Below are 17,015 nucleotides of genomic sequence, written 5' to 3'. Positions count from 1 at the left end.
CTGGTTTTTTAGCTCGCAAAATTCAGAATTGCATTTAAAAGTAAACAATTTCCTGACACCGAAGAAACATAAAAGACATAATCTAACGAAACAATACAAACAGAAAAATTGATGACATAAAAACATTGTGGTCAATGGAGGCATCTCTAGAATAAAAATGCTACTTTCCAGGTGACTATCTAAAAGAGATATATTAACTGGAACATTTAAATCTCCTATCATAAATTATTAAAAGCAATTGTACTTTGCCTAAAGTTACATCTTACAGAATAGTCTCTTACAAAAACATCCTTCCTACTTAACATTTTAAACACATTAAAATGTACAATGATTTCAGAAAATCATTTCCTTTTTTTCTTCTTCTTTTACGATTCGATTGTGTCTTCTGACACCTATATCCAATCCCATGTAGACACTGAAAACAAATCAATGTAACTAGCACATGCTCATTTTAGTCCCTCATCTTCTACCTAGTGACAATAATAATAATAATTAATAATATTAATCACTATGTGCCACTGACTACAAGGCGTGAGGTACGTTAGGTGTACTTTTCATATTTAATCCTTCTACACTTTGGAAACTGTATGTTTATAGGTGAGAAGACAGAGTACTAGAAAAATTAAATAAATTTCTGAAGACACAATTATTTAGTACCAGAGCATGGATCTGAGCCTAGCTGACCTAACTCGTGAGCCACTTTAATAACCACCATGTTATTTACAGTTTCTCAGCTCAGATGTGCAGGTCCCTGGACAGCCTCCTTCCCCTGTTCCCTCCCTCACAGGCTGGCTATCATTTTACTCTATTCCCATAACACCTGAAATCCCTTTTATTAACACACTAAACTCCCTGCATTTTAAATTAATTGAGTTAGAATCAAGGAATATACAATGTAAAAAGCCCATCTCTCCCTCAGCCCTTGAACACTTTCAGTTAAAAGTGCATTTCTAGGAACTTCCTCATGTACAGCATAAGTAAATCAGTATTTCCAGTGTTGAAAAATTATTCCAGAAGACATATGCTCCTTCAAAATTCTTGTTTCAGAATTCATGAAAAACATTTCAGAATTACAAATATTTATAGAGTGTGCTAGAGCAAAAAGCTTAATGTGTGGAGGAGAAAAGTTTCATTCTGGTAACTATTTCCTAAACCACCCATAGATTCTGTACCACACTGACATTTGCTGGATGTGTTAGTTTCTTTCTTTTCTTTCTTTTTTTTTTTTTTAATTTGAGACAGAGTCTCAATCTGTTGACTAGGCTGGAGTCCTGCCTCAGCCTCCCAAGTACCTGGGATTACAGGCACCACCATGCCCGGCTAATTTTTGTATTTTTAGTAGAGATGAAGTTTCACCACGTTGGCCAGGCTGGTCTTGAACTCCTGACCTTGTGATCCACCCACCTCAGCCTCCCAAAGTGCTGGGATTACAGGCATGAGCCACTGTGACTGGCCAGTTTATTTCTTAAATTAGCAAAGAATAATGTTATTTAGCTTGAGCACTGTGATGGTTAATTTTATGTGTCAACTCACAGTCCTCAGATATTTGGTCAAACAGAGTTTAAATGTTTCTGTGAAGGTATTTCTTAGCTCAAGTTACCATTTACATCAATAGAGCACAGTAAAGCAGATTACCCCCCCTAATGTACGTGGGCCTCATCTAATCACTTGAAGGCCTTAAAAGAAAAATACTGAGAATGATGGTTTGCTGAGAATGATGGTTTCCAGCTTCATCCATGTCCCTACAAAGGACATGAACTCATCATTTTTTATGGCTACCATCATTCTCAGCAAACTATTGCAAGGACAAAAAACCAAACACCGCATGTTCTCACTCATAGGTGGGAATTGAACAATGAGAACACATGGATACAGGAAGGGGAACATCACACACTGGGGTCTGTTGTGGGGTAGGGGGAGCGGGGAGGGATAGCATTAGGAGATATACCTAATGTAAACGACGAGTTAATGGGTGCAGCACACCAACATGGCACATGTATACATACGTAACAAACCTGCACATTGTGCACATGTACCCTAAAACTTAACGTATAAAGAAAAAAAAGAAAAAGAAAAATACTGGAGTCCCCTAATGAAATGGGGATTCTGCCTTCAGACTGCATTCAGAATGGAGCTGCAGCATTAACACTTCCCTAGGTCTTGCCAGCCTGCAGCCTGTCCTGCAGATTTTGGTCTCGCCAGCCCCGGCAATTTTATGAACCATTCCTTCATTTCTTAAAATCTCTCTCTCTGTTTCTGTGTAAATAGCATGTAAATAACATATACATACTATATACATGTGTAAATAACACATATACATGTACAAAGGTATTACTTGGTTTTGGATTTAAAATTATTATAAAATCCACCAATTGTTTATATTTTAAAGGGAATTGTGTTTTGCTGTGGAAGAAAAATTGACTCATAACTATATAAAGTCTACTCCAAATTAATTTGTGTTCAAAGAGGCTATTTTTCATAGTCCATTTTGTTTTTATAATAATAATTTTTCTAGAGGAACACGAGAGTAGGGGTGCATCTCAGTGTGCTGGAGGACTAGGACATTGAAGTGTAGATGGCAACCACTGGAGGAGAGCATACGAGTTGCTTTCACAAAATATGCCTCACAATCGTTGCAGCTCAGGGGAAAGATCACTGTGGTCGAGAGTGGTGTGTTATGAGTCTACTTTTTTTCTTTTAACCAAAGCTAAAAGGTTGACAAGTGCCCCTTTGTTGATTGTTTTGGATACATTATTCCTCCAAAGTAAAGATACTTGTTTTATTGATCAAAATGAATGACAGCCTTATTCCTAGCAGTTAATAAGCTGAACATGCTGAACAATTACACATACCAATTTAAAAGAACAGGCTGTAGAATATTTGCATCTTGTAAAAAATGATTTAATAATAAATAAGAAAAGAAATAAACTAAAGAATCTCAGGAAATTTTGATTTGTGATTCTACAAATAAGAATTTCTTAAAATTTAGAAGTTAAAGTTTTATTTTTTACTAAAACTAAAAATAATTTTGACAGATTTTTTAAAAACCTGAAGGACAGCTGATTTAAAAAAAAAAGTAAGAAAAAGTGTCTTAAAAAAGGGCAACATTTTGCTTTGGATAATTTCTATTTTTTTTATAAAAGTGGAGTAGAAATAGGCTCACAGAATTTGAGAACTTATAAGAACCTCAGACTATTTATTCCCAAACTTTATACAGATGAAGAGTAAACTCCTTGAGCTAAGTAACTTCCCAGTTCATCAACTGACTTCTGACAAATGCAGAATTAAGACTCAGACCTTCCAGAGTCCAATCCACATTACTGTCACCTCCCCAGTCAACTGGGATCTCATGCTTGTGTTGTTTCTCTCTAGTTCTTCTCTTGGATTCTTCTTTGTGTGGTCTTGAGTATCATCCTACTGTTATCATGCTGGAGACAGAGAGGAATGAAGCTCACTTATGAACCCGAAGTCTTATTGTTTGGGAAAGAAATTTAGAAAAAGCCTTAAAATATCTCTACCATTTAACTGCACTGCATATACACGTGGATTAAGCCAAACCCATGGAGAAGCATATTGAAACAGAATAGTATCAGGAATAAATACATAGCTAATATTTTGGAAGACCTAGCATAAAGAAGTTAGAAATTTTCCAGATTGTTATTGAATAACCTGGTTCATGCTATATGTTATTTTCCTCCTTAGCAGATATGTGTGTGGGGGTGTGTGTGTGTACAAGATGCAAGAAAACGGCAAACTTCGTACTATTGTAGAAATAACTGAGATTATATGATAGGCACTTCTGGATTTTCCAACTTCCACTAACATTAAAAAAATGACTTCATCCCTTACCATTTAGGTTAAACATTCATTACTGAGAAGTCAAAACGATTTTTGTTTATTTCTAGTGGGAATAAAAAAGCCACACACACAACAGACAAAAATCCTGGCAGTCATGGTGCTTGCATTATTTCCGGGTTGGCAAAATTGATTTTCTGGGAAATATGTCTATACTGCATAACGAATTAATGCAAAAAACCTTAGTTTCATAATGGTCATTTTCTCTAACTGGCAGGTCCCCTAGCAGACCTAGTGAGCAAATATTCAGGGGGTAAGAAATAAAACAAACTCCATCCTGTCCATATAAACATGCACATTGATTTCTAAACATGTAACAGAAGAGGCTGAATTTCAGAAATGTCACACCAAAACAGAAATTTAAGCATTAACAATTGATAAATGGTATTGAAAAAATGCTTGCTCTTCCTATACAGTACTTACAAAATAGAGTCTGTGCATGTGGTCCCTCATCCAGAAATACCAGAAAGTAAAAGGTCTGATATTTCCAGATGTTGTGTGAGGTTAAATCTTGTCTCAGTAAAAGAGATAATGAACACGGGCATTGCCTGCAACAATCTCAACTGGACACAGAAATGGAAAAGTGAATGACTGCACTCTTTCCAACTGACTCTGTCATTTGGCTGAATATTTGGGGATATTTTTAAGGTCTTTTTCCAGGAGACTGCCTCTACAATAAAAAAAAAGATTCAAAACATTGAATGAAATGAAAATTGAAGATAAATCTAGTCGGCTTAGAAATGTGCTACAATAAAGGACAAAAATGAAAGAGACCATTTCTCTGATGTTTATTATCTGGCCTCATTTGGGGGCTTTAATCTCTGATATTTATACTCATACATCTTCTTTCCTCCCTTTTCTGCTTACTCATCTTAAACGATTGTAATCTCTCAATAAGAACTAAAAAGTCAGAGAGGAGCAGAGGGGCGATGTCGCCCACTTTAAACCAGGACCACCCAAGCTCCTTAAGAAAGATAAGAATCCAGCCTCATCATCACGATGTTCACAGAAAGCCACATAAATTTTCTTTGCAACCTATAAGAACTCACTAAAGTGGGAAAGTAAACTTTGTAGTTAGCCTAAATTTCCAATTCTATTTATGGAGGCAGAAAACAGCTAGTTCTCATGCTTCACATAAAAACTAAATCACTCTTCTAGCTTCTAGCTAAATAGTCTTGCTTTCTTCAAACTTTATTATGGAATATTTTAGAAATGCCAAAATGTAAAATAGTACTGTAATAAACACCCCTAACACTTGGTATAAAAATATTAATCATTATAAACATAATAAAATATTTCTGTGTTTTTCTCTCTCTGGATATTCTACTCCTCTTTTCCTCCCCAACATAAACACCATTCTGATTTCATGTTTATTGTTTACATGCATGTTTTATTCTTATATTGGTATGTACCCAATAATAAGATTTAATATGCTGTCAATTTTTTTCTCTCAATATAATGTTTTGGAGATATTTGTCATTGAGCCAAATTGCTCTCCAAAGTGGTAGAACCAATTCATACAATCATATCCTTCTTTACGTATTTTTTAAAAAAATTTCCATGTGTCTAATACCATTTGTATTAAACAGGAAAGGATAGGGAATAAGAACTGATAAACAATAAATCCTTTTTCCCTTTTATCTTTTCTTTCTTGATTTAACTAATTTTGGAATGGTGATGGTAGAAAGGTGACTAGGGAATGGTAGCCATTCTTAGTGAATACTCAGTTTCCTGTTGACTTGGTGCTTATATTAGTTATAATTTTGTCTCAGTATCAAAATAAAACAAAACAAAATCAAACAATGACCAAGAATCTTATAATTGAAAGTTATAATGAGATTTCATTTGCTTTATTATTCTGTATTTAGATTATGTATCTTAGAATAACAGAATAATGGTATTTGAGTCTATTGTACCTGGCTACTTGAATCTCCACATATTAGCGATGTGAAGCTGAAGGATGGCACTTCAGTGTTCCATCTGGGAGAAGCACTTGAACCACTCAAGAAGACACAGGATAAATTTGTATTCCTGATTATTTCAGCATTAAGCAATCAGTGCTATCTATAATTTCCAATTTACATCTTACCTAATTCCCTTATTCCATGGTCCTTAAACTGGTTCATTCTTTCTTGATAGGTTACTATCTGAACCAGCCTAAATTCAAAAGATAGTCAAATATATTTTCTAAATTTTGAACACACTGTTTATGACGTGTTGATTGAATAGTTCTTAAGATCTGTCTTTATATTTTCATGTTGCTCACATGCAAGAAAATCACTACCATCTCATATCTTTTAAACAGGATTTTTGACCTGATATTTAGTATGATCAGTTGGAATTTTCATAAGAAAGTATTACTCTATCCTTGGAAACTTTTATTCCTAGTATAGAAACAGAGTAAAATTAAAGTAGCTTTGGGTAAACTTGCACATTTGGAAGCATTTAGCTATTTTTAAAAATCTCAAACATGGAAGCTGATGTATCTCTAATTTTTTGCTTTTTTGGCTCTATGATAAATGGCCCCACTCCATCACTAGCCATGAAAAGCATTATATTCTAATGTTTGTCTTGTACTTGGGTTGCTTCTGAGCTACTCATCAAAACCTTGACGTTGTGGTTTTAATATAATTTTCATAGAACCATTAAGAACAGATGTATGAACCAATCAAAAGGCAGAAAATATGTAAATATGGTAATTAAATCCGCATAAATAAAAGAGTAGTGTGTATTTTTTTCTGATTACCACAAAGAAACATAAAATTATTATTTACTCATTGGTATAGAAATATGTTCTGAAATAAAACAAAAGGAACATGCCTATATTTTTTACAGTTTTACATAATTCAGTGGCATTAATTTCCATCAATGGAAATTATTATAGTTTAACTATATGGTAACTTTTTTGTAAAATGGAATCAGTATCAATTTATTTTACATCTAATTCAATACAAAAATGGTTCCAATGTCATGAATTACATTTCAAATGTTAAAACATATATATCTATATGTATATATACACACACATATATACACACATACATATATATGCCTGAATATAATTTGTCTGGATAATACGATAAATTCTTTGGGTACATTTGCATCAAATATGCAGTTAGAAAACATTTTTGGATGCTCTATAAGGAGGCATTAATTTTGATATTTTTTGCTTCTACTCCACATCACAATTTCAAAGAATCTTAGAAGAGTCTAAGATTTAGTTTGACCACCTATTTTAGAGATTTGACAGTAAGACAGTTGCACAATTAGTTGAGAACAGAAAAATAAAATTTTAGTTTACAGATGTCTGGTTCTTTGGTACCTCCTACATGGTACCTGTGAAGGGGAACCAAATAAAATTCTAATGATTGAGTTTTACTCTTTGATCACAATTCTAATAAGATCTTCGGTCCCAGATCTAATCGCTTCTTATTGATTATTGTTTGACAGTTGTGAGTTTTCCAATTTTTTTTCTTTTCTTTTTTTTTTAAGACGGAGTCTCACTTTGTCTCCCAGGCTGGAGTGCAGTGGCTTAATCTTGGCTCGTTGCAACTTCCACCTCCCAAGTTCAGGTGATTCTTGTGCCTCAGTCTCTCAAGTAACTAGGACTACAGGCATGCACCATCAAGCCTGGCTAATTTTTGTATTTTTAGTAGAGACAGGGTTTCACCATATTGGCCAGGCTGGTCTTGAAATCCTGACCTCAAGTGATCCACCCACCTCAGCCTCCCTTCCAAAGTGCTGAGATTACAGGCATGAGCCACTGCACCTGGCCCATTTTTCTTCTGTTACATGAAATAAGTCGTTTTATAGCCTTCTAGCTTGTATTCAGTTCAGTAATCATTCTTATTTTAGCTCCCCTGTCTATAATGTCTTTTTTCTCTTTATGTTATTAAGATATCTTATATTATTAGTTTTCAAAAAAAATATTAAAATATTCCCTGATGTATTACATCCAGAGAATTTTTCAGTTCAAATTTTTTATTTTTTTTTACTTAAATTATTTTAAGTTCAGGAGTACATGTGTAGATTTGTTATAAAGGTAAACTTGTGTCATGGGGGTTTGTCATACAGATTATTTAGTAATCCAGGTATTAAGCCTAGTACTTATTAGTTATTTTTCCTTATCGTCTCCTTCCTTCTACCCTCTACCCTCCTGTAGGCCCCGTGTTTGTTGTTCCCCACTATGTGTCCATCTGTTTTCATTATTCAGCTCCTACTTGTAAGTGAGAATATGCATTGTTGGTTTTCTACTCCTGAGTTAGCTTGCTATGGATAGTGGCCTCCAGCTTTCTCCATGTTTCTGCAAAGGACATGATCTCATTCTTTTTTATGGCCACATAGTATTCTATGGTATATATGTACCATATTTTCTCTATCCAATCTACCATTAATGGGCATTTAAACAGGATTTGCTATTGTAATAGAGAGTCCTTTCCCCATTGTTTGTTTTTGTCAGCTTTGTCAAAGGTCAGATGGTTTTAGGCATATGGCATTATTTCTGGGCCCTCTATTCAGTTCCATTGCTTTACCTGTTTTTGTACCAGTACTATGCTGTTTTGGTTACTGTAGCCCTGTAGCATAGTTTGAAGTCTGGTAACGTGAAGCCCCCAGCTTTTTTTTTTTTTTATTGCCTTAGCTATTTGGGCTTTTTTTCAGTTCCATATGACTTTTAAAATAGTTTTCATTAGTTCTGTGAAGAATGTCCTTGGTAGTTTGATGGGAATAGCATTGAATCTATAAATTGCTTTGGGTAGCATGACCATTTTAATGATATTGATTCTTTCTATACATAAGCATGGAATGTTTTTCCATTTGTTTGTGTCATCTCTGATTTCTTTGAGCAGTGTTTTCTAGTTCTCATTGTAGAGCTCTTTCACCTCCCTGGTTAGCTGTAGTCATAGGTATTTTTTTATTTTCATGGCAACTGTGAATGGGATTGCATTCCAGATTTGGCCCTCTGCATAATGGTGGTTGGTGTATAGGCATACTAGTGATTTTTACATGTTAATTTTGTATCGTGAGACTTCGCTGAAATTGTTTATGATCTTAAGGAGCTTTTGGGCCAAGGCTATGGGGTTTTCTAGATATAGAATTATGTCATCTGTGAACAGGAATATTTTGACTTCTTGTCTTCCTATTTGGATGCCCTTTGTTTCTTTCTCTTGCCTGATTGCTCTGGCCAGGACTTCCAATACTATGTTGAATAGGAATAGTGACAGAAAGCATCCTTCTCTAGTGCTGGTTTTCAAGGGGAATGCTCCCAGCTATTGGCCATTCAGTATGATGTTGGCTGTGGGTTTGTCATAGATGGCTCTTATTATTAAGAGCTTTAAACATGAAGGAGTGTTGAATTTTATCAAAAGCCTTTTCTGCATCTATTGAGATGATCACATGGTTTTTGTCTTTAGTTCTGTTTATGTGATGAATCACACTTATTGATTCACATAAGTTGACTAAACCTTATCCCAGAGATAAAGCCTACTTGATTTTAGTTGATATTGTTTTTGATGCGCAGCCAGATTTAGTTTGTAAGTATTTTCTTGAAGATTTTTGCATTAATATTCATCAGGGATATTGGCCTGAAGTTTTCTCTTTTTGTTGTGTCTCTGCAAGGTTTTGGTATCAGGATGATCGTAGCCTCATAGAATGAGTTACGGAGGAGTCCCCCCTCCTCAATTTTTGGAATAGTTTCAGCAGGAATGGTGCCAGCTTTTCTTTGTACATCTGCTAGAATTCAGCTGTGAATCTGTCTGGTCCTGAGATTTTTGGATTGATATGCTACTTACTACTGATTAAATTTCAAAGCTCATTATTTGTCTGTTCAGGGATTCAGTTTCTTCTTGGTTCACACTTGGAAGGGTATATATATCCAGGAATTTATTAATTTCTTCTGGATTTTCTAGTTTGTGTGCATAGAGGTGTTCATAATATTCTCTGATGGTTATTTGTATTTCTGTCGGGTCAGTGGTAATATTCCCTTTGTTGTTTCTGATTGTATTTGTTTGGATCTTCTCTTGTTTCTTTTTTATTAGTCTAGCTAGTGATCTATTTTATTAATATTTTTTAAAAACCACCTACTGGATTTGTTGATCTTTTGAATGGTTTTTCATGTCTCCATCTCTGATTTTGGTTATTTCTTGTCTTCTGCTATATTTGGGATTGGCTTGCTCTTGGTTTTCTAGTTTTTTTCATTGTGATATTAGGTTGTTAAGTTGAGATCTTTCTAACTTTTTGATGTAAGCTTTTAGTGCTATAAATTTCCCTCTTAACACTTCCTTAACTGTGTCCAGAGATTTTGATGTGTTGTATATTTGTTCTCATTAGTTCCAAGGAACTTTTTGATTTCTGCCTTAATTGAATTATTTACCCAGAAGTCATTCAGGAGCAGGTTATTCAATTTCAATGTAATTATATGCTTTTGAGTAAATTTCTTAGTCATGATTTCTAATTTGATTGCACTGTGGTCCAAGAGAGTAGTTGTTATGATTTCAGTTCTTTTGCATTTGCTGAGGAGTGATTTATGTCTCATTATGTGGTTAATTTTGGAGTATGTGCCATGTGGTGATAAGAAGAATGCATATTCTTTTGTTTTTGAGTGGAGAGTTTTGTGGATGTCTCTCAGGCCCATTTGATCCAGTGCTGAGTTGTTAATTTTCTGTCTCGATGTATCTGTTGAATACTGTCAATGTGGTGTTGATGCCTTCCACTAATATTGTGTGGTTATCTAAGTCTCTTTGTAGGTATCTAAGAACTTGCTTTATGAATCTGGGTGCTCCTCGGTTAGGGGAATATATATTTAGGATAGTTAGGTCTTCTTGTTTAATTGAACCCTTTACCATTATGTAATGTCTTTGTCTTTTTTTTAATCTTTGTTTAAAGTCTGTTTTGTCCGAAATTAGAATTCCAACCTCTGCTTTTTACTGTTTATCATTTACTTGGTAGACTTTTTCCATCCCTTTATTTTGAGTCTATGGGTGTCACTGCATGTGAGATGGGTCTCTTAAAGACAGCATACCATTGAGTCTTGCGTTTTTATCCAGCTTGCCACTCTGTGCCTTTTAATTGGGGCATTTAGCCTATTTACATTCACAGTTGGTATGGATATGTGTGGATTTGATCCTGTCATCGTGATATTTGCTGGTTATTATGCAGACTTGTTTGTATGGTTGCTTTACAGTGTCATTGGTCTGTGTACTTAAGTGTGTTTTTGTAGTGGCTGATTAGTCTTTCAAATTTAATGCTTCCTTTGGAAGCTCTTGTAAGGCAAGTCTGGTATTAACGAATTCCCTCAGTATTTGCTTGTCTGAAAAGGGATCTTATTTCTCCTTTGCTTATGAAGCTTAGTTTGGCTGGATAGGAAATTCTTGGTTGGAATTTCTTTTTTTTTTTTAATGTTGAATATTGGCCTCCAATCTCTTCTGTCTTGTTGGGTCTCTGCTAAAAAATCCACTATTGGTCTGATGGACTTCCCTTTGTAGGTGACCTGACCTGACCTTTCTCTCACCCTGCCTTTAACATTTTTTCTTTCATTTTGACCTTGGAGAATCTGATAATTATGAAGATTTTCTTGTGAAGTAACTTACTGGGGTTCTCCGCATTTCCTGAATTTGAATGTTGGCCTCTTTAGCTAGATTGGGGAAGTTCTCATGACTGAAATCTTGAAATGTGTTTTCCAATTTGATTCTCTTCTCCCCATCTCTTTCAGGGACACCAGTGAGTCATAGATTTGGCCTCTACATAATGCCATATTTCTTGGAGGTTTTGTTTATGTGTCTTTATTCTTTTTTCTGTATTCTTGCCTGATTGTCTTATTTTTAGAAAGCCAGTCTTCAAGCTCTGAGATTCTTCGTCAGCTTGGTCTATTCTGCTATTAATACTTGTGATTGCATTATGAAATTCTTGCAGTGCATTTTTCCACTCTATCAGGTTGTTTAAGTTCTTTTTAATATTGGCTATTTTGTTTGTCAGCTTCTGTATTGTTTCATTGTGATTTTAGCTTCCTTGGATTTGGTTTCAATGTACTCCTGCATCTTAATGATCTTTGTTCCTATCCATATTCTTAATTCTATTTCTGTCATCTTGGCCATCTCAGCACAGTTCAGAACCCTTGCTGGAGAGGTAGTGTGGTTGTTTGGAGGAAAGAAGGCACTCTGGCTCTTTGTTATTAGGCTTCTTGTGCGGGTTCTTTCTCATGTTTCTGGACTGGTGTTCCTTCAATCTTTGAAGTTGCTGTCCTTTAGATTTTTTTCTTTTATCCTATTTGATGGCATTGAGGGTTTGCTTGTGGTATAAGGTGGGTCCAGTCTACTGGATTCATTTTTGGAAGATTTTAGGGGACCAACAGTCATCTCCCAACTCCTAGACTGTGTGCTCTACCTCTGGAGGATTTATAACAGGCCCTAACTTTGTTCTCTGGTTCCTTGAGGTTAGGAATCCACTGCATGGGGCAGGGGTGCCTAAGTGCTTGTTGGCCACTGTTGATTGCATTCTGATACATGCTGCCAGACAAAGCATTTCATAGGGTGATGGCAGTGCGATCCATTCTCATTCATATGTGCCAGCAGCAGTGGCAGTGTGGTGGGGTGCACACCCGTCGGCTGTCGCAGGATGCTAGTGGATGTTGGGGTGCCTGCCTTCATGCAGGTGTTCACAGCAGTGGCAAAGGTGGTATGATTGGTGTGGGCAGGGGGCATCCTGTTGGTGACTGTATGCATGGTTGCATTGTTGGTGGTGTTAGCACAGAGGAGGGGCACTGGCGGGCACAGGTCTTTGTGTACCCTCTGTGGCCGCTCAGGGCAGGGGAGGGTCTATTGTTCTGTGTGCCTAGTTTCACTCCCAGTGTTGGTGCAGGGGTGGGGCTAGTGGGCTCTGTGCTTGCCAAGGCTCCAACTTCAATGGCAGTATGGTGGGTGAGGGAAGGCAGAGTGCACTCCTGCTGGCAGGGTCCACACATCCATGTGCCCTGGTAGGGCAGGGAAGGCAAAGTGTCCCCCCACCACACATGGTGACAAAGCAATATGGGGGTGGCCATGGACCCTGGGGAAGCTGCAGTGGGAAGGGGGAGTGGGCAGACTGGTGTATGGCAGTGAGGACTGCCCTACTGAAGCTGTCCACTGTTCAGGAATGATCTACCAGTGCAGAAGCTATGATGCAGGCCCCCAGGGCACCAGAGGCTGCAATGCAAACAGGTGCAGCCAGGCTGGGAACCCAGAAGAAACCAGTGGAACAAGGGGTGCTCAGGTCACACCACCCCATCTGAAGGGCAAGACAACACTGCAGAATTTTGTTCCAACAGTTCCCCTAGGGCTAAAGTCTCCTATGGGAGCAAGTTGATCCTGGAGGGATGGGCACCCCTGGCCCTACTCTACTACAAATGCTCCTACAGCAAGCCCTGTAGGCTCTGCATCAGCTGGCCTGCTGCCCCTACCACTTCTCTAAGCAGCTCTCCCTGCCAACTCAAGTGTCCCTAGTGGTTGAGGGGTTTCCTCTTGCTGGGATTCCAGAGGCTCATGGCTAGAGCGAGTTGTTTGCTGCCAGTTCAACTCGCCCATTCCCCTGGAGTAATTGGGGGCCAAGAATGAGTCCTGGTGTGCAGAAGCCCCACACATGGTTCCCAGCTTCTTCCCCTTCAGCCCAGTTTCTGTGTTTTTTTCTGCATTCACTGTCAGTGCCTTCCCTCTGAAGATCTTTTAGGAGTGTGCCAGTCATCCCAGTCCCTCAGTGGCAGCAGTTCTACCTGGCTGCATCTAGTGGGCCATCTTGCCCGAATCCAGACATTTTTTACTTTAGAAATTTCATGATTCTACTTTTATACCTTTCATTTCTTTTAAAGCCAAATAACATTTTTCCATATTATTTTTTCCCAGTTGGCAAAAATGCCTGTCATTTGATAAAAGAATCTTTAAAAATATGCTTATGGTTGCTTTATATTTTGTTTTGTTGTTTATGTATTTGTTTTGCAAATTGGGATTTCTACCTATTAGAGACAGAAAATCTGCCTGTGGTTCCTGGCTCCTACTCTTATTATTCATTTGAATGGACAATTTAATGTAAGTTCTTGGTATGCAAAATAAGTCCACAAAAATCCCACCCTGGTGTACTGATTCACTAAAATAATGCGCATGAAAATGTTTTGTGCAATAACTAGATAAATGCAGACTATTTATTTTTCATTAGCCATTTAATAAAATATTTATAAGAAATAGCTTTCTGTAGAACTTTTTTTACTTGTAGTATTCAGAGCCTGGTTGCTAGCTATCTAACCATTAAGGGGCTGTCTAAATATTAATATTCACATTTCATGCATTGTCATGGGGAAAATGCACATAAAAGAAACTAAGTATTTCCCGAATACAACATTCTTTCCATTGGCACACTTTAAATCTGTATGTAACTATCTTGAGTCTTTTTGCAGCTTCAAAAACTTGAAGCATTTTCTCTGGGTCCAAAGAATACCAAATCTTTCCTGGGGAGTGCTACAAGAGGAAGATTTCTTGCCACTTGAGAAGGTTCTTCAACACATGCAGCTATTTCTCCAACTGGAAGAACTTCCAGATGCTCTTTCAATATTACAGACTAACTGGTGAAACTCTGCAGTCTAGGAAGAGGAGTGACATTGATGGTTTTTTGTTTGTTCCATGGTTCTTAGATATAAGGTATGTGTCTTCAATTTCAAGTAAGAGAAAATGCATATTCAACTTGCTTACACAGCATAAGGATATATATTATCTCATATCCAGGACCCAGATTTTTTCCATTGATATTTTCTACCATTGTCAGCGAGCTCATTTGTCCCATGGGTGGTGTTATAAGCTGAATTGCCTCTCCCCAAAATTCATATGTTGAAGCCCTATCCTCCAGTACCTCAGACTATAACTATTCAGAGATAGAGCCTTTAAAGAGATGATGAAGTTGAAAGGAGGTCATTAGAATGGGTTTTACTTCAATCTTACTGGTATCCTTATAAAAAGAGGAAATTTGGACACCCAAGAAGAGACAACAGGTGCACACGTGCACCAGGAAAAGACCATGTGAGAACACAATGAGAAGAGTCAAGGCAAGAGCCCTCAGGAGAAAGCAACCCTGCCAACACTTTGATCTTAGACTTCCAGCCTTCAGAACTGTGAGCAAATAAATTTCTGTTATTTAAGCCACACAGTCCATGGTACGTTGTTATGGCAGCCCTAATAAACTGATACAGATAGCTCTCCCCAGGGTTGCAAGACAGCTATCGCAGCTCACGTTACATCCACATGGAAGCACAAAGATGCCGTTACTTCTAGCACCTTTGTCTTAAAAAGAAGGAAACCTTTCCAAAAAGCAAAAAAAACCTGCTCTCATATTCCCATGCTGGGCATGGGACCCAACTCTGGGTCAGTGGGGCAGGGTTGGCAGATGAGGATGAGATTACCTATCATAACTGGTTTGTCCCAACTAATATTTGCCCCTGAGGCAAGGATAGGGTCACCTCTCCCCAAGTAACATGAGGCATAGGTGGATACCTGTAGAAAATTGAGATTCTTTAGTAAGTTAGAAAAAGGAATGTTGATTTAGAGTAAGCAGTATCTGTTGCTGACATACTACTATATTCCAAACCAAAGTCACCACAATTTGCAATGCAGTATAGTGATTGTAACCGTTTTTACTACCCCTTATGATGGCTTTTTAAAATCTTGAGGTCTCAGTGCTCATTTTATCATTATAAGAGAAGGTGTTACTCCTAATTTAGACTCCATTAGAGGAATATTATTTGTCAGTGTTCTACTTAACCTTAAAGGACCAGGGACAAAGATGATGGGTGTACTTTTACATTCTAGCAAAAGAATGGAATACAGCTTTCTGAAACAAAGCGAGGCAGTGGGTAAATAACATTTGAGAGGGAATGTCTAAGATCTTCAAGTTATTTTAAACAAACTGTTTTGTGTGCCTTCAAGTAATTTAAAAGCATATATTTACTGACACATAATCTATTTGCTAATTCCAATCTCTTTTATTCATCCTAGCACATGCAGTATCTACAAGGACCTCTTAGTCCATAGATTTATCTAGTTCTCAGTTATTGTACTAGGTTGAAAGCATTAATTTTTATTCTTTTCAAACGAATTTTATTTTGGTCAAGCTATTTAGATTTTACTTGTTAATTTCCTTTGCCCATTTTTTCTCCATTTTTTTCCCTTAAAAAACAATTCTCACCGCAACATCCCAAAGAGAAGATTCAATTTTAACACTTTAAAATGTGATCTCAGAGGCCGAGATAAATGCTATACTAAACCCAGAATTATGTGGTTGGTTCTTTCTGGATGGGAGTAGTTGGTGTTAACTTACCAACTACTATTTGCTAAAGTAGTTTTAGTCTAAGATACCACATTTTCTTTACAAAGTATATATATAACCAGTTCCTCATTGCATTCCCAAGGGAAGAGAAGAGAAATACAACTGAATTATGCAAGACTTTCTAAATCAAACAGAACAAGTATTCATATCAACAAAGAAAATTATTAAGGATGAATTTATTTTTATTTTCATTTTTATTTTTATTGAGATGAAGTTTTGCTCTGTTGCCCGGGCTGGAGTGTAGTGGTACAATCTTGGCTCACTGTAACCTCTGCCTCCTGGTTCAAGTGATTATCCTGCTTCAGCCTCCCAAGTAGCTGGAACTACAGGCACATGCCACCACCCCCGGGTAATTTTTTGAATTTTTACTAGAGACGGGGTTTCGCTATGTTGGCCAGGCTGGTCTCGAACTCCTGACCTCAAGTGATCCACCTGCCTCGACTTCCCAAAGTGCTGGGACTACAGGCTTGAGCCACCACGCCTGGCCAAGGTTGAATTTATATGTGAAAGAAAGAAGCATTTCTCCTTGGGCAACTAAAAGGTGTTTAATCTCGCATAATTTTTACATAATGTATATCATGCCGATTTGTAACTGAAAACAAAACTACACCATTTCCCCTCAATCCCTTGAAGGAGCTCTGAAGTGGAAACATGATCCAAACTCTTAAATCCTTTTCTGAAATTGTACCCTGAAATAGCTTTTCATTTTTACTCTATGTCTTATATTTTTATATTAGTAAAAGTTTCCCTCATTATACCCACAACAAGTTTAATGGAAAGTTTTGAAGAAATCTGAAGTAAATTTGTCTTATAACATTCTTTTC

Source organism: Homo sapiens, chromosome 6 (assembly GCF_000001405.40).
Source record: "Homo sapiens chromosome 6, GRCh38.p14 Primary Assembly".
NCBI lineage: Eukaryota > Metazoa > Chordata > Mammalia > Primates > Hominidae > Homo > Homo sapiens.
This window is presented reverse-complemented; position numbering follows the sequence as displayed.